The sequence below is a fragment of the Homo sapiens genome, chromosome 4 (assembly GCF_000001405.40).
Source record: "Homo sapiens chromosome 4, GRCh38.p14 Primary Assembly".
NCBI lineage: Eukaryota > Metazoa > Chordata > Mammalia > Primates > Hominidae > Homo > Homo sapiens.
Genome location: NC_000004.12, coordinates 62,132,611 through 62,153,112, shown reverse-complemented (window position 1 = coordinate 62,153,112; position 20,502 = coordinate 62,132,611). Strand labels below are relative to the sequence as shown.

Below are 20,502 nucleotides of genomic sequence, written 5' to 3'. Positions count from 1 at the left end.
CCTTTTTCTCTATCTTGTGGAATAGTGTCAGTAGAATTGGTACCAATTCTTCTTTGAATATCTGGTAGAATTCTGCTGCGAATCAAACTGGCCCTGGATTTTTTTTGTTGGTAATATTTTCAATTACCATTTCTATCTTGCTGCTTGTTATTAGTATGTTCAGGGTATCTAATTCTTCCTCATTTAAGCTAGGAGGGTTGTAACTTTCCAGGAATTTATCCATCTCTTCTAGGTTTTCTAGTTTATGCACATAAAGGTGTTCGTAGTAGCCTTGAATGGTATTTTGTATTTCAGTGGTGTCAGTTGTAATTTCAGTGGTCTCGTTTCATTTCTTATTGAGCTCGATTGGATTTTATTTATTCTTTTCTTGGTTAATCTTGCTAATGGACTATCCATTTTATTTATCTTTTCAAAGAAACAGATTTTTGTTTCATTTATCTTTTGTACTTTTTTTGGTTTCAATTTTATTTAGTTTTGCTTTAATCTTGGTTAATACTTTTCTACTGCTGGTTTTGGGTTTGGTTTGTTCTTGTTTCTCTAGTTGTTTGAGTTGTGACCTTAGATTGTCTGTGTTCTTCCAGACTTTTTGATGTAGGCATTTAGGGCTGTGAACTTTCCTCTTCGCACCACCTCTCCTGTGTCTGAGAGGTTTTGATAGGTTGTGTCACTATTGTCATTCAGTTAGAATAATATTTAATTTTCATCTTGATTTCACTTTTGACCCAATTATCATTTGGGAGCAGGTTATTTAATTTCCATGTGTTTGCATGGTTTTGAAGGTTCCTTTTTGAGTTGATTTTCAGTTTTATTCCACTGTGGTCTGAGAGAGTGCTTGGTATAATTTCAATTTTTTTAAATTTATTGAGGTTTGTTTTGTGGCCTATCATATGGTCTATCCTAGAGAAAGTTCCATGTGCTGTTTAACAGAATATATGTTCTGTGGTTGTTGGATGGAATGTTTCATATACATTAAGTCCGTTTGTTCCAAGGTACAGTTTAAATCCATTGTTTCTTTGTTGACTTTTTATCTTGATGAACTGCCTAGTGCTATCAGGGGAGTATTGAAGTCCCCCATTATTATTGTGTTGCTGTCTATCTCATTTCTTAGGTCTATTAGTAATTGTTTTATAAATTTGGAAGCTCCAGTGTTAGGTGCACATATGTTTAGGATTGTGATATTTTCCTGTTGTACAAGGCCTTTTACCATTATATAATGTCCCTCTTTGTCTTTTTTAACTATTGTTGCTTTAAAGTTTGTTTTGTCTGATATAAGAATAGCTACTCCTGCTTACTTTTGGTGTCTGTTTACATGAAATGTCTTCCCCTCCTCGCCCCTTTACCTTAAATTTGCATGGGTCCTTATGTGTTAGGTGAGTCTTTTGAAGGCAGTAGATGGCTGGTGAATTCTTATCCATTCTGCAGTTCTGTACCTTTTAAGTGGACCATTTAGGCCACTTATAGGCAACGTTAGTACTGAGATGTGAGGTGCCATTCCATTCATCGTGCTATTTGTTGTCTGTATACCTTGGTTTTTAAATTTTTGTTTATGTTTTTTAAATTGTATTTTTGTTTTATAGGTCATGCGAGATTTATGCTGTAAAGAGGTTCTGTTTTGATGTGTTTCCAGGATTTGTTTCAAGATTTGGAGCTCCTTTTAACAGTTCTTGTAGTGGTGGCTTGGTAGTGCCAATTCTCTCAGCATTTGTTTTTCTGAAAAACACCATATCTTTCCTTCATATATGAAGCTTAGTTTAACTGGATACAAAATTCTTGGCTGATAATTGTCGTGTTTGAGGAGGCTGAAGATAGGGTTCCTATCGCTTCTAACTTGTAGGGTTTCTGCTGAGAAATCTGCTGTTAAACTGATAGGTTTTCCTTACAGTTACCTGGTGCTTTTGTCTCACAGCTCTTAGACTCTTTCCTTCATCTTAACTTTAGATAACTTGATGACAATGTGCCTAGGTGATGATCTTTTTGTGATGAATTTCCCAGGTATTCTTTGTGCTTCTTGTGTTAGGATGTTTAGGCCTCTAGAAAAGATGGGGAAATTTTCCTCAATGATTCCCCCAAATATGTTTTCCAAACTTTTAGATTCATCTTTTTTCTCAGGAACACTGATTATTGTTATGTTTGGTCATTTAACATAATTCCAGACTTCTTGGAGGCTGTGTTTGTATTTTCTTATTCTTTTTTCTTTGTCTTGGTTGAATTGGGTTAATTCAAAGACCTTGTCTTTGAGCTCAGATTCTTTCTTCTACTTGTTCAATTCTATTGCTGAGACTTTCCAGAGCCTTTTGCATTCTGTAAGTGTGTTCATTGCTACCTGAAGTTTAGATTGCTTTTCATTCATGCTATCTATTTCCTTGAATATTTCTTTCTTTATTTCTTGTATTTTTTTCAAATATCTTCTCTCTCTCTCTTTCTCTGTCTGTTTCTCTCTCTCTGTCTCTCTCTCTCTCTCTCTCTCTCTCTCTCTCACACACACACACACACACACACACACACACAAAAGATTCAGTTTGCAGTACTGGTTAATGCACTTTCTCCACCATCTGAGCAAACTTACATAGAATAGTGAATTTAGCACATTTTCCGGGATTCTTGGTATTAGCATTGCCTAGTTTGTTTAGACACACATCCAGCTTTCTGACTCAAAGATACGAAGCAAGAAGAGAATATTTTTTAAAAACACGATTTAACACAAAGCTACATGCTTTTGTGAATGTTATAAAAACTCTGCTTGGATTTACCTTCCTTAATTCATTTTAAAAAATCTTTCTCTGATATTTTTACTCTGATCTCATTGCTTCCTTTGATACAGAGAGAAGTCTCGTAGACTGTTTCAAACTACCCACAGTGGACCATCCAAAGAACAACAGGAAATGTTTTAAAAGGTCCTGTGTCCTAGAAATAATCAAATATTTAATCTTGTTAAGGCTCTTGCAGGATTATGGGTTTTTGATATTTTGCTTCTTCATCTGCTTTTACCAGTATTGTTGATAGCTACATTTTTTTCAAAGAGAAACAATTTCCTCACATTACATGGAATGATATTTTGTTTATAATTCACACATAGTAATTATACATATTATGGAGTACGGTGTGATGTTTCAACACATGTATACATTGTATAATGATCAAAGCATGGTATTTAGCATATTCATCACCTCAAACATTTATCATTTCTTTGTGATGAGACATTTAGAATCCTCTCTTGTAGTTGAAATATACACCATAACATTGTTTACTATATTCACCCTACTGTGCTATAGAACACCAAAATGTATTCTTCCCACGTAACTGTAATTTTGTACCCATTGATCAATCTGTCCCCATTCCCTCTTTCCCAACCCTCCCCAACCTCTGGAAATCACTATATTACTCTCTATTTCTATTGATGTATATTTTTTTTAGATTCCGCAATGAGTGAGATTATGTGCTATTTGTCTTTCTGTGCCTGGCTTATTTCACTTAACATGTCCTCTAGTTTCCTTCATGTTGCTGAAAATGACAGGGTTTCATTATTTTTTACAGCTGAATTGTACTCCATTGCCTATATATGTTTTCTTTATCCATTCATTCACTGGTGGACACTTGGGTTGATTCCATATCTTGTGTGTTGTGAATGCTGCTGCAATAAACATAGGAATGTAGATATCTCTTCAAAGTACTGATTTCATTTCCTTTGGGTAAATAGTAGTGGAATTTCTGGATCATATGGTAGTTGTATTTTTTATTTTTTGAGGAAACTTTACACTGTTTTTGTTGTTGTGTGTTTTTTTGTTTGGTTGGTTGGTTTTGGTGATTTTTTTTTTGAGACAGGGTCTCACTCTGTCGCCCAAGCTAGAGTGCAGTGGTGACGATCACAACTCACTGCAGCCTTTATCACCTCAGCCTCCTGACTAGCTGGGACCACAGGCATGTATCTCCATGCCTGGCTAATTTTCCTTTATTATTTGTAGTGACCAGGCCCTTCTGTGTTTCTCAAGCTGGTCTCAAACACCTGGGCTCAAGCAATCCTCCCACCTAGGCCTCCCAAAGTGCTGGGATTAGAGGTATGAGCAACCATGCCCAACCCTTCACACTGCTTTCTATAATGGCTATATCAATTTACATTCTACATGGAATAATTCTTAAAGTTACAAACTGCATTGCTGTTATAATAGAAAAGGCTTAGAAAAGGAGCATGAAAATAACATTTATGAGTGAACACGCTAGATCATTTATCCAGACTACCTCACTCTCTATGTGTTATAAAGTGAATGTTCATTTTCCCCCAAAATTCATATGTTAAAATCGAATCCCCAGTATCCTGGTATTTGGAGATAGGGCTTTTGGGAAGTAGTTACATTATGAGGGTGGAACCCTCATGAATGGGATTAGAGCCCTTATAAAAATAGGCCAAAGAGCTAGCTCACATTGTTTTTCACCCTGTGATGAGACAATAAAATGGCAGCAATCTACTCAAAAGAGGACCCTCACTGGGACCTAACCATGCTGGCACCCTGATGTCAGACTTGTAGCCTCTAGAACTCTGCAAAATAAATCTCTGTTGTTTAAAACTACCCAGTTTATGGTACTTTGTTATAATGACTCAAATTGCCTAAGACCCCATGTAACAATCCAGAAAAACTGTTATTTCTACGTTTTTTTGTCTGAAGTCACATGATTAGGAGTTAAACCTTGGGATCCCAATCCTACATATATCAATTATTAATAATTATTAGCTATAAGACCATAAAAAATAACTTATTCCTTTGAAATTTCATTTCCAACCTGTAACATGGAAACAATAATATATGTCCTGCTAAGTAACTGATATTTTTTCTGAAGGAGAGACAGAGACTAAAAGAACAGGGAAAAAGAAAGAGAAAAAGAGAAAGAGAGAAAATGAGGTGGAAATGAAAGGGGCTTTGATAATTTCAAGGTACAATATAGGTATGATTTATTATTATTATTAATGAGAAAATTATAATTATAAATAGAGAACTTACATATAGTATATAATCAAAAACTAACATCAATTGATAAAAACCAACTTTGTGCTCGGATAAGCATATTGTGTCTCCTAACTAAAATCTGTCCTGATACATTACCATCTCTTTCTGAAATTACATACTTAAATATTTATTAATATATTATTTCTGTTGATATTTTTATGAATATATGAATACATGGTATCTTGTAGAACAAGGATTTGTGATCAATCTGAGCTAAGACAATTGCATATCATATTTTATAGCTGGAATTTGAAGATGAATAGAAAAGTGATTCAACGAAGAGCATATGAAATGTATCTCAAGATCGCAAAATATAACTTAAATCTTAGCTCATTCTTTGGACAAGTAAAAATGGATGCTAGTATAATTGCGTATTTTAATGAATAAAAATCTCACACATCTAATTGGAAAAATCAATTGGAATCTACATGAAATTAAATTAAACCCAATTATATTAAATCTTAATTATTTACGTATTACTGTGAGCAGTACCAAGAAGTCAAAACACATGGATCCTTTCCTGATGGAAATTAAAAGCCAATTGGGAAGATAAGACTGGGAAAAAAGGAAGAATTTAGATACCAGTGTGGAATAATTTTTAAAGAGTATTTGTAAAGCAACAAGTAATATAAGATTTCAGAGGAAAAAGTGTTAAAGAGGGCCAATGAGGAAATTTTATTTGAATAATTGAAATTTGCAGAATAAAACTATCAGAAGAAGGCATTGCCAGGTGGAAGAAACACATTTGTAGATGTATATTTATTATTCAAAACATCACTGTTGTGGTTTAAATGTGTCTCCCAAGATCCACGTGTTTGAAATGTAATCCCCAATGCAACAGTCCTGAGAGTTGAGACCCTTCTAAGATAATCAGTGCTGTTATCCTGGGAGAGGGCTAGATATTGTGGGAGTGGGATCCTGATAAGAGTATGAGTTCTCCTGTCTTCCTCTTTTACACATGCTTTCACCATGTGATGACTTCCACCATGTTATGTTATGACATAGCAAGACCTTCACTAGATGAGGCCCCTCAGTCTTAGACTTCCCAATCTCCAGAGACATGAGCCAAATAAACTTCTGTTGTTTATTAATTACCAGTCTGTAGTATTCCGTTATAGCAGCACAAAATGAACTAAGACAATAACATAAAACAAGAATTTTAGTCTATTTGTAAATGTAAATGATTAAGAAAAATATCTTCACATTATAGTAGCCTCATTGTAGAATCTGACATATTTACTGATTGTATTAGGCTGTTCTTGCATTGCTATAAAGAAATACCTGAGACTGGGTACTTTATAAGAAAAGAGGTTTAATTGGCTCACAGTTTTGCAGGCTGTACAGGAAGCATAGTGCTGGCATCTGCTTTCCGAGAGGCCTCAGGAACTTCACAATCATGGTGGAAGGCAAAGTGGGAACAGGTACTTGACATGGTGAATGTAGGAGCAAGAGAAAGAGTTGGGGGTGGAGGTACCACACTTTACAACAACCAAATCTTGAGAGAACTCATTCATTATTGAGAGGACAGCACCAAGACATGAGGGATCAACCCCCATGACCTAAACACCTCCCACCAGGCCACACTTCCAACATTGGGGATTACAATTCAACATGAAATTTCAGTGTGGACAAATACCTAAACTATATCATTCTACCCTTGTCTTCCCCCAAATTACCTATTCTTTTCACATGGCAAAATACAATCATGCCTTCTCAGCAATTCCCCAAAATCTTAACTCATTTCTGCAACAACTCAATCAAAAGTCCCAAGTCCAAAGTCCCATCTGAAAATGAGTTCCTTCCACCTGTGAGCCTGTAAAATCAAAACAAGTCATTTACTTCCAAGATACAATGAGGGTGCCAGCATTGGGTAAACATTCCCATTACAAGAGAAAGAAGTCAGGCAAAGAAAGGGACTAGAGCTCACACAGGTCCGAAAACTAGCAGGACAGTCATTAAATCTTAAAGCTCTGAAATAATCTCTTTTGACTCCATGCCTCACATCCATGGCACGTTAATGCAAGGGGTGGGCTCCCAAGGCTTTGGGCAGCTCTTCCCCTGTGAATTTGCAGGATGTAGCCCCATGGCTCCTCTCAAGTGCTACAGCTGAGTGCCTGCAGCTTTTCCAGGCATAGAGTGCAAGCTGCCAATGGATCTACCATTCTTGGTTCTGGATGATGGTGGCCCCCTTCTCACAGCTTCATTAGGCAATACCCCACTGGGGACTCTGTGGGCTTCCAAACCCACATTTCCCCTCCCCACTGCTCTACTAGAAGTTCTCTGTGAGGGCTCCACTCCTGCAGCAGCCTTCTGCCTGAACACCAGCCTTTTCTATACATCCTCTGAAGTCTAGGCAGAGGCTACCAAGCCTTCTTAACTCTTGCACTCTGTGCACCCACATGCTTAACACCATGTGGAATCTGCCAATGATTATAGCTCGTGTCCTCTGAAGTGATGGCCCAAGTTTTACCAGTGCCCCTTTGAGCTGAGGCTGGGGCCAGAGTGACCAGAATTTGGGGAGCCGTGTCTCAAGGCTGTGCAGGCTAGCAAGGTACTGGGCCTGGCCTACAAAACCATTCAGTCCTCCTAGGCTTCAGGGCCTGTGGTAAGAAGGGCTGCCAGGAAGTTCTCTGAAATGTCACTGAAACCTTTTTCCCATTGTCTTGGCTATTAGCATTTGGCTCCTTTTCAGTTATGCAGATATCTCTAGCAAATGGTTGCTCAACAGCCTGCTTGAGTTTCTCTCTTGTAAAAGGTTTTTATTTATTTGCCACATGATCAGCCTGCAAATTTTCTGAACTTTTAGGCTCTGCTTCCTGTTTAAATGTAAGTTCCAAATGTAAGTCATTCCTTTGTGCCTACATCTGAGCATAGGTTGTTAGAAGCATCCAGGCCACATCTTGAACACTTTGCTGCTTAGAAATTTCTTCCACCAGATACTCTAGGTCATCATTCTCAACTTCAAACTTCCACAGATCTCTAGGGCATAAACACAATGCAGCCAAGCTGTTTACTAAGAAATAATATGCATAATCTTTGATCCCAATACATTTCTGATTTCTATCTGAGACCTCAGCAGCCTGAACTTCAAAGTTCATATCACAATCAGCATTTTGGTAACAACCACTTAACCAGTCTCTAAGAGGTTCCAAACTTTCCTTCATCTTCCTGTCTTCTGAGCCATTCAAACTCTTTGGACTGCTGCTTGTTACCCAGTTCCTAATTTGCTTTCACATTTTCAGATATCTTAATAGCCATGCCTCACTCCTAGTACCAATTTTCTGTATTAGGCCTTTCTTGCATTGCTATAAAGAAATACCCAACACTGGGTAATTTATAAGTAAAGAGGTTTAATTAGCTCACAGTTCTGCAGGCTGTACAGGAAGCTTGGCAATGGCATTTGCTTCTGGGGAGGCCTCAGGAACCTTATCATCATGGCAGGTGGTGGAGCAGGAGTGGGCACTTAATATGACGAAAGCAGGAGCAAGAGAGAGAGTTGGGAGTGGAGGTGCCACACTTTACAACAACCAGACCTCAAGAGAACTCACTCGCTATCTAGAGGACAGCACCAAGACATAAGGGATTTGCCCCTGTCACCCAAACACCTCCCACCAGGCCTCACATCTAACACTGGGGATTACAGTTCAACACGAGATTTGGGTGGGGAGTAATATCCAAACTATATCACTGATATATTAAAATATACACCAAACTATCATGCTCTATCTAGCAGAAAGTGATAATTGACCAATTCTTTCAAAATGTTTCATTTCTGAAATATTTTATTGGAAAATTCTTATGAATTTGGGTGAGATTTTTACTAACAAATCTCCTGAGCTATGTCAAAGGAAATGAATTTTGAGTATCAATGAAACCTGACAAAGAAAAAACACGAAAGCAAATTTTATCAAATAACATGTATGTGAAAGAGTTAAAATAATTTTACCTTTATAGATATCAATATATTTTTCCTATACTAAAGAACTATATTTCACACAATATATGGCAAGTTTTATATATGTAATTATGCATATGATACTAATAATACTGCCATTTTTTAATGGATTTTTTTCTTATCCAAATGATGACCCAGGCAACTAACTTTCCTGCTAAGGAAAGTCCTGTTAAGGAATTTCCTTTCCTTCAAGTGGCCTCTTTTGCCATTTGTAAGGCAGTTAATACTTACAGGTTTATTATCAAGAGCTTAAGAGAAAACTATTCCAAAAATACAATTTTATTTCTTTGTTGCCACTACTTTCAATGGCAAAAAATGCAAATATTTTGCATCAACCTAATAGCTTATTTCTGGTTAAAAGACTTAGAGTTCATGTTCATTTAACCAAATGGATTTTTAAAATTATTATTGAGGAATATTTATCAGGGATAGATAAAAAGTTTTTAAGGAGCCTGAAACATAATTTGGAGGACTCTAAGAAAAAAAGTAAAAGTTACATATTTCAAAAAACTGATGGTAGCATAAACATTACAAAATTGAGCAAAACATATTTGTATTGGCTGGGCGCAGTGGCTCATGCCTGTAATCCCAGCACTTTGGGAGGCCGAGGTGGGCGGATCACGAGGTATAGAGATTGAGACCATCCTGGCTAACACGGTGAACCCCGTCTCTACTAAATATACAAAAAGTAGCCAGGCGAGGTGGCAGGCGCCTGTAGTCCCAGCTACTCGGGAGGCTGAGGCAGGAGGATGGTGTGAACCTGGGAGGCGGAGCTTGCAGTGAACCAAGATCACGCCACTGCACTCCAGCCTGGGTGACAGAGCGAGACTCCATCTCAAAAAAAAAAAAAAAAAAAAAAAAAACGTATTTGTATTAACTGCCTGATGCATTTCTGCACCTTTCCTACATGTACTTCAATAATGCAGAATTAATGAAATTACAACTTACAAATACAATTTAAGTTAAATTTTACATTTTCTTTTCAGTTATATTATCCCGCACAAATGTGTAATCAAATTACTCATGTATACATATGTAGGCAAAGATGAGTAAGTTTTCTCACCAGACCACTTATTTCTTCTGGGTGTTTTGTAACATCAGTTACAAATTTTCCGAGATGTTTCATAGGAGCTGCCATATTTTCCCAAGACAAGATATACCAGTTAACACTACAACATAATATTTTTTGTAATTAATTAATTTGTATATATTTAGGGGGTACAGTTACAAGTTTCCTACATGTATATATTGTGTATAGGGCAAGTCTAGGCTTTTAGTGTACCCATTGTCTGAATAGTGAACATTGTAACCAGTAAGTAGTTTTTCAACACTCTCCCAACTTTGACCCTCCCACCTTTTATAGTCTTTAGGGTCTATTATGCCACACTGTATGTCCATGTGTATCCATTGTTTAGCTCCCAACAATAAGTGAGAACTTGCTGTATTTGACTTTCTGAGTTATTTCACTGAGGATAATAGCCTTCAGTCCCATCCATGTTGCTACAAAAGACATGATTTCATCCTTTTCTATGGCTGAATAGTATTCCATGGTATATATAGATTTTCCTTTGGGTATATACCCAGTGGTGAGACTGCTGAATCTAATGGCAGTTCTATTTTTAGTTCTTTGAGAAAGCTTCATACTGTTTTCCATAAAGGTTGTTATGATATACATTCCCAACAACAGTGTATAAGCATTCAGTTTTCTTTGCATCCTGGTTAACAACCTGGTTAGCATTTCTTTCATGTTTTTTGGTCACTTGTATGTCTTGTTTTGAAAATTATCTGTTCTGGTCAGGCGCCGTGGCTCATGCCTGTAATCCCAGTGCTTTGGGAGGCCAAGGCGGGTGGATCACCTGAGGTCAGGAGTTCTAGTCCAACCTGTCCAACGTGGTGAAACCCCATCTCTACTAAAAATTCAAAAACTAGCTGGATGCAGTGGCATGCGCCTGTAGTCCCAGCTACTCAGGAGGCTGAAGCTGCAGAATCTCTTGAACCTGGGAAGTGGAGGTTGCAGTGAGCTGAGATCACACCAAGGCACTCCAGCCTGGGCAACAGAGTGAGACTCCATCTCAAAAAAAAAAAATACATATATATACACACACACACACACACACACACACACATATGTATATATATAAATATATATTTATATATGTATATATGTATATTTTTTATTTAGTTATTTTTTCATATTTATATATGTGTGTATACACATATATATATATATATATATCTGTTCATGTCCTTTGTTCACTTTTTAATGGGGTTATTTATTTTTTCTTGAGTTGCTTAAGTTCCTTGCAGATTCTGGGTATTAGCCCTTTGTTAGATGCGTACTTTGCAAATATTTTTTCTCATTCTGTAGGTTGTCTGTTTATTCTGTTTATTTGCTGGACAGAAGCTTTTTAGTTTAATTATGTCCTATTTGTTTATTGGTTGTTGTTGTTGCATTTGCTTTTAAGGACTTCATCATAAATTCTTTGCCTATGCCATTGTCAAAGGGGTTTTTCCTATCTTTTCTTCTACGATTTGCATAGCTTCAGGTCTTATGTTTGGATCTTTAATTCATGTTGAGTTGATATTTTTGTATGGTGTATTAGTTTGTTTTCACACTGCTGATAAAGACATTCCTGAGACTGGGAAGAAAAGTAGATTTATTTGGACTTATAGTTCCACATGGCTGGGGAGGCCTCAGAATCATGGCAGGAGGCGAAAAGTCCTCTTACATAGTGCTGGCAAGAGAAAAAAAATGAGGAAGATGCAAAAGTGGAAACCCCTGATAAAACCATCAGATCTTGTGAGACTTACTCACTACTATAGGAGCAGTATGGGAAAACCACTCCCATGATTCGAATTATCTCCCGCCAGGTCCTTCCCACAATACGTGGGAATTATGGGAGCACAATTCACCGTGAGATTTGGGTGGGGACACTGAGCCAAACCATATTGTATGGTGAGAGGTGTGGGTTCAGTTTCATTCTTCTGCAGTGCCATTTATTGAATACAGTGTCATTTTGCCTCTGTATATGTTTGTTGAGTTTTTCAAAGATCAGTTGGTTATGGGTATGTTGCTTTATTTCTCTGTTTCCTATTATGTTTAATTGATCTCTGTGTCTACTTTTATACCAGTACCGTGCTGTTTTGGTTACTATACCCTTGTAGTATAATTTGAAGACAGGTAATGGGATTTCCCCGCTATATTCTTTTTGCTTAGGATTGCTTTGGCTATTCAGGCTCTTTTTGGTCCCACATGAACTTAGAATTGTTGTTTTCTAATTCTGTAAAAAAAAATATGTTGGTAATTTGAAGGGTTATGTTGAATCTATAGATTGCTTTGTGCAGTATGTTTATTTTAAAAATACTAATTCTTCCAATCCATGAGCATGGCATGTTTTCCATTTATTTGTGTTGTCTACAGTTTTTCTCACTGGTGCTTTGTAGTTCTTACAGTGATCTTTCACCTCCTTGGTTAAATATATTCCTGGGTATTTTTTTTTTTTTTGAAGCTAATGTACATGGAATTGCCTTCTTGATTTAGTCCTCAGCTAGATTGTTATTGATATATAGATACAATACTAACTTCTGCATATTAATTTTGTATCCTGAAACAAGATCATATCATCAGTGAACAGAGACAATTTGACTTCCTCTTTTCTAACTTGAATGCCTTTTATTTTTTCTCTTCTCTGATTGTTCTGGTGAGGACTTCTAGTACTGTGATGAATAAAAGCAGTGAAAGTGAGCATCCTTGTCTTATAATCTTAGATGCTAATATGCATAAGACATGTAAGTTTATACACAGATATACCCACTTTTTTAGTACTAATAAAAATAACTATAAGCACAAGTCTCATCATCAAACAAAAACAATAGTGGGTTTATACATTTGTACAAGTAAATATGTATTATTTAGAAAATTCAAGACAGGAGAGAAGTTCCATTTTCACCAGTGTTTACAATAACTGAAACTTCAGATTGCATGTCTGAGGATTGGGAAATATTTCTACAGACTAGCTTCTGGCTCTATACTTTTCAAACTTTGCTTCTTGTCCAAAATCACATAATTTTGGTGCAGAATGTCATGGGATATAATACATGTTCATATAAGATTTAAACTCTGCCTCTGCACTGAAGTACACCAATGCCAGATAAGTCAACAGAATGGCCAGTAAGAGGATTCCTAGAAGTCATTTTCACACTTGAATAACAAGCAATATCCAAACTTTACCTAGAGGAAATGTTAGCCATATAAATATACCCCACTAGAGTAAAAACCAAATATACCCTTAACTCTACTTTACTTGGATCCCCAAAATGCCCTAAACACTCCAGTGCTACCCAGTATCTGGCAAAGTGTGATAGAGAGGAAATCAGGGAGGGGAGATACAGGTAACTTAATCAAACATGGTTAAAATGTGTCTTAGTTTTGCAAATTTTACAAATGCTTGACCTTGTGAACATTTTCCTAGTGTGTCTTTGAAAGCCTTAGAAGGTTCCCATGCAAGGAAGAGACTAGAAGTTACAATTTTATTCATTTCATGATAAATCTGATACAACAGAGTGTGGAAGCTCTATTGATGCACTTCTACCCAGACTAAATAGGAATGAGAACTGTTGATTTCTCTCAGTTTACACAGAAAATAAAAGAGAAAACAGGCAATCATCTGGGTTAATGTGCTCAGCCAGTACATGGATGAGCTACTTTATTAGCCAAGGTACTGCATTTTATCCCACATTCTCACTCCAAATTTCTTACCAGTTATGCTTTCCTAACTTTTTAGGTGCTCCATTTTCTTCATGATTCTACAATAATATTGATGTTGTTTGGCTCTGTGACCCCATCTAAATCTCATCTCGAATTGTAATCCCTACCTGTGAGGGGGGGAAGTTATTGGATTATGGGGGTGGTTTCCCTTTGCTATTCTTGGGATAGTGACAGAGGCATGAGGCAGACAAATCCTAGGCAGACAGGGGTGGGTCCCTGGCAAAACTTGACCTTCAAGCCAAGGACAGTTTAAAGTCTAGCTACAAGTCCCAGGTAAACCCTTGGGCCAGATTGAGAACCTGTCTTCCCATTTTGCATGTGTTTCTCTGATTGATCCCCACCCTTCACCTATTTTACATATGCTTATCTCTCCCTAATTGATTTTTTTATAATGTCATGCCCACCTTTGAGTGGTGTCTTTGCTTTAATCTTTTTTGCATACTCACAAACTGATCAGCACTCACTCTTCATTCTGAGCCCATAAAGGCCTCAACCCCAGCCACACTGTGAGAGACCACACAACTTTGGATGGGGTACCACCCTCGCATTCCCTCTCTGCTGAGAGCTGTTTCATTGCTCGATAGTTATTTCCACCCTCCTCACCCTTTGATTGTCAGCATAAACTCATTCTTCTTGGACACGGTGCAAGAACTGAGGACCCACTGAACAGGGGTACAAAGAAGGCTGCAACACTGTGGCCCTCTGCCCCACATAATGGGAAGTAGCTCAGCCCCAGAGCCATGGGCCCAAGTAGGACAAGGGGCTGATAGAGCTGTTAACATGCTGCTGTCCATCGGGCTGCAGACAGTGGGACTAAAAGAGCAAATTAGCATGCTGTAACACCCTGTCTGGGGCTTCAGGGTCACAGACACCACAGCCTGGGCACCACCACATTCCCCTCATCTGGACACTGGAATCCACCATGAGAGTCACTTGCAACATGACTAGTCCAGCCGCAAGCCCCACATTGAGCCCTCTCCTGTGCTGGTTTTTGTATTTTTAGTAGAGATGGGGTTTCACCAGTGTGGCCAGGCTAGTCTGGAACTCTTGGCCTCAAGCGATCCACCCGTCTCAGCCTTCCAAAGTGCTGGGATTACAGGCGTAAGCCACCAAGCCCAGCATAATTGCTTAAGAGTCTTAAGTGTGTATTACAGATGGTTTGCAACACACTTACACAAGTAGCACAGTGCCTGGAACATATTAAGTCCCCAATTCTTTTGACAGATTGTTTCCTTAGTGATCACTGATTATGAGTCCTTTAAAAGTTCAAAGACAATAAAAATAGTATATTTTTATGATTGCTTCTTATTCTTACATGAATTTTAATGAATTAATGAATTTAATATTTTTAAAGTGCCGCAACTGACAAAGATGACCTTCAAATGCTTGTGCCCAACCTTGGGTGGCCTTGTAGGGTGATCTTATGCATGTGTCAAATACAGCGAGTTTGAAATAGCACATTAAATTACGTATTTGCAATTATCAGAGATCTTGCAATGTTTGCCTATTTGAGCCTCATTCTATCACTACATCACATGTTTTGTTTTTGTTTTTTCATTCTCTTACCTTTTTTTGTAATCCATATACCCACAGTATATTTCTTTATTTGATGCTTTCATCTTCTAGTTCAAGACTAAAACAATGTAAAGACACCTGATGAAAAGAAATTTGGATTTGTAAACATAAACTCCTAGGTCTCAAGCATTCTCCGAGTTTGATTATGTTCCCCCCACCCAACAATGAGAAAAAAAGTGTTAGACTCTACAGGCATAAATATTGAAAAAACTGACTGGCCTAAACTGTGAATTTTTGTCACTTTTAATGGAAACTCATAACAATGACACAGCTTCCTTTATATATCATGGACTTAAAATACTGCCAACTGCACTTTTACTGAGCCTCTAAGTCATGTGTTGAGCATGCGAAGGTGAAGGATTCTATCAATTTTATTCCACTCTTCTCTTGGCCTCTACATTGCACATCTCTGAATAGATTTTTCAGATAATCTCACTGAAATCGAGACTCTCAGAGTCCCCTCTGGCAGATCTATAAATCACATGCTTTAATAGTGACTTCTATTTTCTGGACCTTCTCTATTTTTCTCTTAGTTTGCACATAAGATTGTTGTCTACCTTTCAACTTCCATGAGCTATAAAATTATATCCTTAAGAACAGTGTTCTGATTTTCTTCTGGATCAGCTAATTTAGCTCTTTACTTTTGTCGTAAGAGTAACAATAATTTATTTTGGACTTCTGCATACAACTGCTTCTGAACTTCCAAGATTTCTATTGCTGTTACAAATGACTGCATGTCTATAACATCGATTATCCCAAAAATTTTTCTCTTAGCCTGCTAGCTAATAAAGCAATTGCTAGACCAAAGAACCTAACTTACGATAAATGGTCAAGTGCTTTAGGGTTGTTATCCATATAAAACAAAGAACCTTTCAGATGACCTTGTGGATACTTCAACACCTGGTAAAGGTATAAATAAATTTAATTGCCAAAGATCCACACTTAGGAAGATAAAAGGGGCAGAGGACACTGAACCATACAGATAACACCACAAACTTCATTTAGTCATTAGACTGAACTTCACTCTTGCAGTTTCATCTCCTGTTTTTTTTCTACAGTGAAGTTTCTGAAAAGTAATACAGCAGGCAAATAAAATCTGCAGGAGACAGCAGAAGGAAAAGCAATTATTCTGAATAATCTACACATAAAGTGAGTATCTTTATTAAAAAAAAATTTAAGTTGGTGGCTGGCACATAGCTTTTATTCCTGAAACAATGGCATAAACCTATTGCTCTGAATTTAAAAAAGAATAATAATGAGAAAGAAGTTAAAAGTAAATTTGACCTAATCAACAGCAAAAGAAACAGCACCTTGTAGAATCATTTGTTTGAAAGTCTATTTAAATAAGTGATGATTTAGAAATCTGAAGTAGTATTATTTGGCAGCCTTTCTGGGCAAGAAAAAAAGAACTGAGTATAAAGATTAAAATGAAGCCAAACAATACATGAAATAAAGATCAGTTCAGTTCCAATAACAGCATCTTACAACTTACAAACTCAAAGTAATTATTTTTGAATTTAAAAATATAAGCACAAGATGAAATTGAAAGGATATACATACCATCTTGGTAAAATTTATGAATTGCTTCAAGAATAGGACTTGACTTCTTTTTAAAGGTTTAGTCAAAAATTTTTGCATTCATACAAGTTTATAACAATGCTCTATTTCTATTCCATTATTATCCGAACCACTATTATTATTAAAAACCATTTCCTGTGGCTAAAGAACATATTCTTTTAGAATTTTCATATGCAATGAAATTGTTTTAAAATAGTTAATTCTTTACCATTCCTCCCTCAACCACATTCTCTGTCAATCTAGAGGATTCATGTGGTGACATTCTATGTTCCAATTTCAATCTTAGTCACAAAGGCAAGCCTTCTAATTCTGTCATTATTTAATGATAGACAGATGATTTTGCACTCATTTGACCTTTACCATGCTCTCTTGTTTGATTAGCAGCTCATTCCTGTTCTCTTATAATAAAAGGTAGAATGGATTAGCCATTCAGAATTCAGAATATTGAAGTAGTTAAAGCATAACAACAGACCACTGCTGGCATTTAATGCAGACATTAAAATTCTAATGACTCATTCCCCTGTCACAGATGAGGAAAAGAATAGAAATAGACATAACAAGGATCTGTTCTTCTGAAACTAATTATAACAGGAATTTGAGATGGTAAAGACTTCATCTATTCATATAAATCAGTGTTTCCTTTAACTTGGTAAAGAAGGCACTGTGATTTGCCAAAATTGAGGATTTCTGGAATCAGGTTAATTTAGGGTTCAGTACTAAAAGAGATCTTTTGAAGATGAAATGACAGAGGGTGGCGTGAAAAAAGAAAGGGGGGTTATAAACATAGGTATACCCTCCTGAGAGGCATAATTTAAGAAAAATTTTGATTTTTTTAAAAAAAACAGACTTTAAGAGAAAAAGTTATAATCATTCTATGACAAGAAGTGAATGTCTATACAAAATGTTTATTTTTTTGTGTTATCATAACATAATCTCAGATATTAAAAGCTATTCTTATCCTACACTGTAGGAAATAATAGTTAAAATAATTAATAAGCATATTTCTTGAACCCATGGCAGGTTCTTTGCAAGGCCCTAGTGATATCAGATGATAAATACAACATATTTCCTGTCCTCTGGGAGCCTACAGTTGAGTTACTAAGAGATACATTAATCAAATAATCACAGAAAGGAATACAGCATTTCCACTGTAATAAGTAATGCGTTAGTCACACTGAGATTATTCGAATTTATAATGCAAGGACCTGACCAAGATAGGGGGTCCCAGAAGGCTTAGCCAAGGAAGTCATGATTGATTAAAACTTGGAGGAAAGGGAAAGTTAATTGGTGAAGAGGAGAAAGGACTCATGGTAGAGGGAGTCTCTGAAAATGGAAGGACAGGAGAAAACACAGCAGTTTTGAGACTATGAGAGATCAACGTGTTTGGGTTGTACAAAGATTGAGGGGAAGGATTTTGCATTATATGGAAAAAAGTAAGAACCAAATTATATGCAAGGGTTTGTATCTTATATTCCATGTTAAGTCTTTAAGATCTGTTCTTTTGGCAATTTCAAGTTTATGTTATTATTAACTATAATCACTCTGCTATGCAATAGAATTAGAGAACTTACCCCTGAAACATTGTACTTTTTGGCAAACATCTTCCCATATCTCACACTCTTCCAAGCCCCCGATAACCATCACTCTAGTCTCTGAGTTCCACATTTTTAGATTCTACATATAAATGAGGTCATGCATCATTTGTCTTTCTGTACCTAGCTTATTTCACTTAGCAAAATATCCTCCAGGTTAATCCATGTTGTCGGAAATGACAGAATTTTCGTTCTTTGTAAGGCTAAATAGTATTCTATGGTGTGTGTGTGTTTCAGGGAAAAACTCCCAAACTGCATTTTTCTTCTGCCTCACTTCACCACCACAATCATCAACACAGAAGACGACTTCTGTGACCAAAGGTGTGGGAGTTTTTCCACACACGCCAAACAATGGACACCAGCTGGGTGTCCTTCAATTCAGTTTTGACACTATCTACCCAGAGAGTGTGTCAGAATCCACAGGTCGAGGGGGCTCAGTTTCACAAGACTTCCCCCTCCTTCCCTCTAGTCACATGTTCGGGCCTCTAGAAATTCTGACTGACTGGCTTCAAGGCGGAGTTTCTACGACCTTATCTTTGAGTTCAGTTAATGTGCTAGAGCAGCTCACTGAAGTGAGGGAAACATTTACTTACATTTACTGGTTGAGTAAGGAGATCTTAAAGGACAAATAACCAGCCAGATGAAGAGACACATGGGGTGAGGTCTGGAGTACAGGAGCAGTTATCCTCATGGAATTGGGGTGTTCCACCCTCCTGGCATGTAAATGAGTTCTTCTTTACATTCCTGTCAACCTCCATGTTTCCAGCTCTCCAGAATCTCACCAAACCCTGTCCTTTGGGCCTTTTACAGAGACTTAATTTGTTGCCCATGCTAAAGCTGCTGAGGACTGTATGTTGAGATTCTTCTTTCCCTCTGTGCAGGGTTGCTTCCTCCAGAGAAGGAAGCAGGACTCTCTGGAATGAAGGTCTTATGACCCACAGTCAGATTAGAGTCCTGCCTTTGGCAAGTGAAAGGGGGACACAAAAAGGTCAGAGAGATAAGTTTTGTTTCCTGAGGTCTGTTTCTGAGGCTTTAAGTGCCCCAACATCATAACAAAAGATTGTAACAATGGTTATGGGAGTTATGAGCTATGAACCAAGGCTGAAAACCATAATATAAATATAATCATAATATCACAGTGTATATATACCACATTTTCAGTATTCATTCATTCATTGATGGTTGCTTCTATATCTTGACTATTTTGATAATCCTTCCAGAAACATGGGAGTACAGATATCTTTTCCACATACTGATTTCATTTTCATTGAAGATATAGCTAGACACAGAATTGCTAGATCATATGGTACTTCTATTTTTAATTTTTTGAGGAATCTCCATATTAGTTTCCATAGTAACTGGAGTAATTTACATTCCCACCAAGAGTTTACAAGGGTTCCCTTTTCTCCACATCACCAGCACTTATGTTTTGGCTTTGTGATAATAGACATGATAGCGGATGTGAGGTAATATCTTGTTTGGTTTTAATTTTTATTTCCCTGATGATTAGTAATAGCTAGCATTATTTTCATGTACATGTTGGCCATTTATATGCCTTCTTTTGAGAAATATCTAATCAATTTATTTGTTTTCTTGCTATTGAGTTATTTTATTTCCTTGTATGTATTTTGGGTATTAATTACTCTTCAGATATACGATTTGCAAATATTTTCTCTTATGCTGTAGGTTGTCTCCTCATTCTGTTGATTGTTTGCTTTGTTATGCAGAAACATTTTGGTTTGATTCAATCCTATTTTTCTATTTTTCTTTTGTTGCCTATGCTTTGAGTCATATTCAACAAATCATTACCAAAACTAATGTCAAAAATCTTTTTTTGCGTATTTTCTTCTAGGAGTTTTATAGTTTCAGGTCTTATGTTTAAATCTTTAATCCATTCTGAATTAATGGTGTCAAATAAAAATCCAATCTGATTCTTCTGCATGGGGATATTGTTTTCTCAGCAGTATTTATTGAAGAGAATCTCCGTTCCCTATTGTGTAGTCTTGGTACCTTTGTTAAAGATCAATGACGATA

The 20,502-nt window shown here is 36.9% G+C and overlaps 2 long non-coding RNA genes across 5 annotated transcripts in view; one reads left to right on the top strand and one right to left on the bottom strand.

Annotated features, from left to right (window-relative positions):
• The window catches only part of LOC101927145 (uncharacterized), an 87,617-nt gene extending 68,272 nt beyond the window's left edge, over positions 1-19,345 (bottom strand). The window contains exons 1-4 of one of the 4 annotated variants that reach the window (XR_001741398.2): positions 19,062-19,345; positions 15,290-15,376; positions 10,019-10,124; positions 3,866-7,979 (exon numbers count right to left, since the gene is read on the bottom strand). This is a non-coding gene — a long non-coding RNA (uncharacterized LOC101927145). Of the gene's footprint in view, positions 1-3,865; positions 7,980-9,812; positions 10,125-15,289; positions 15,377-19,061 lie in introns of those variants that run through there. The other 3 variants (XR_245246.5, XR_001741397.2, XR_938809.3) reach the window with 3 other exon arrangements.
• ADGRL3-AS1 (ADGRL3 antisense RNA 1) overlaps positions 1-20,502 on the top strand; it is a 90,011-nt gene that overhangs the window by 8,653 nt on the left and 60,856 nt on the right. The window contains exon 3 of the long non-coding RNA NR_110595.1: positions 16,357-16,447. This is a non-coding gene — a long non-coding RNA (ADGRL3 antisense RNA 1). The remainder of the gene's footprint in view (positions 1-16,356; positions 16,448-20,502) is intronic.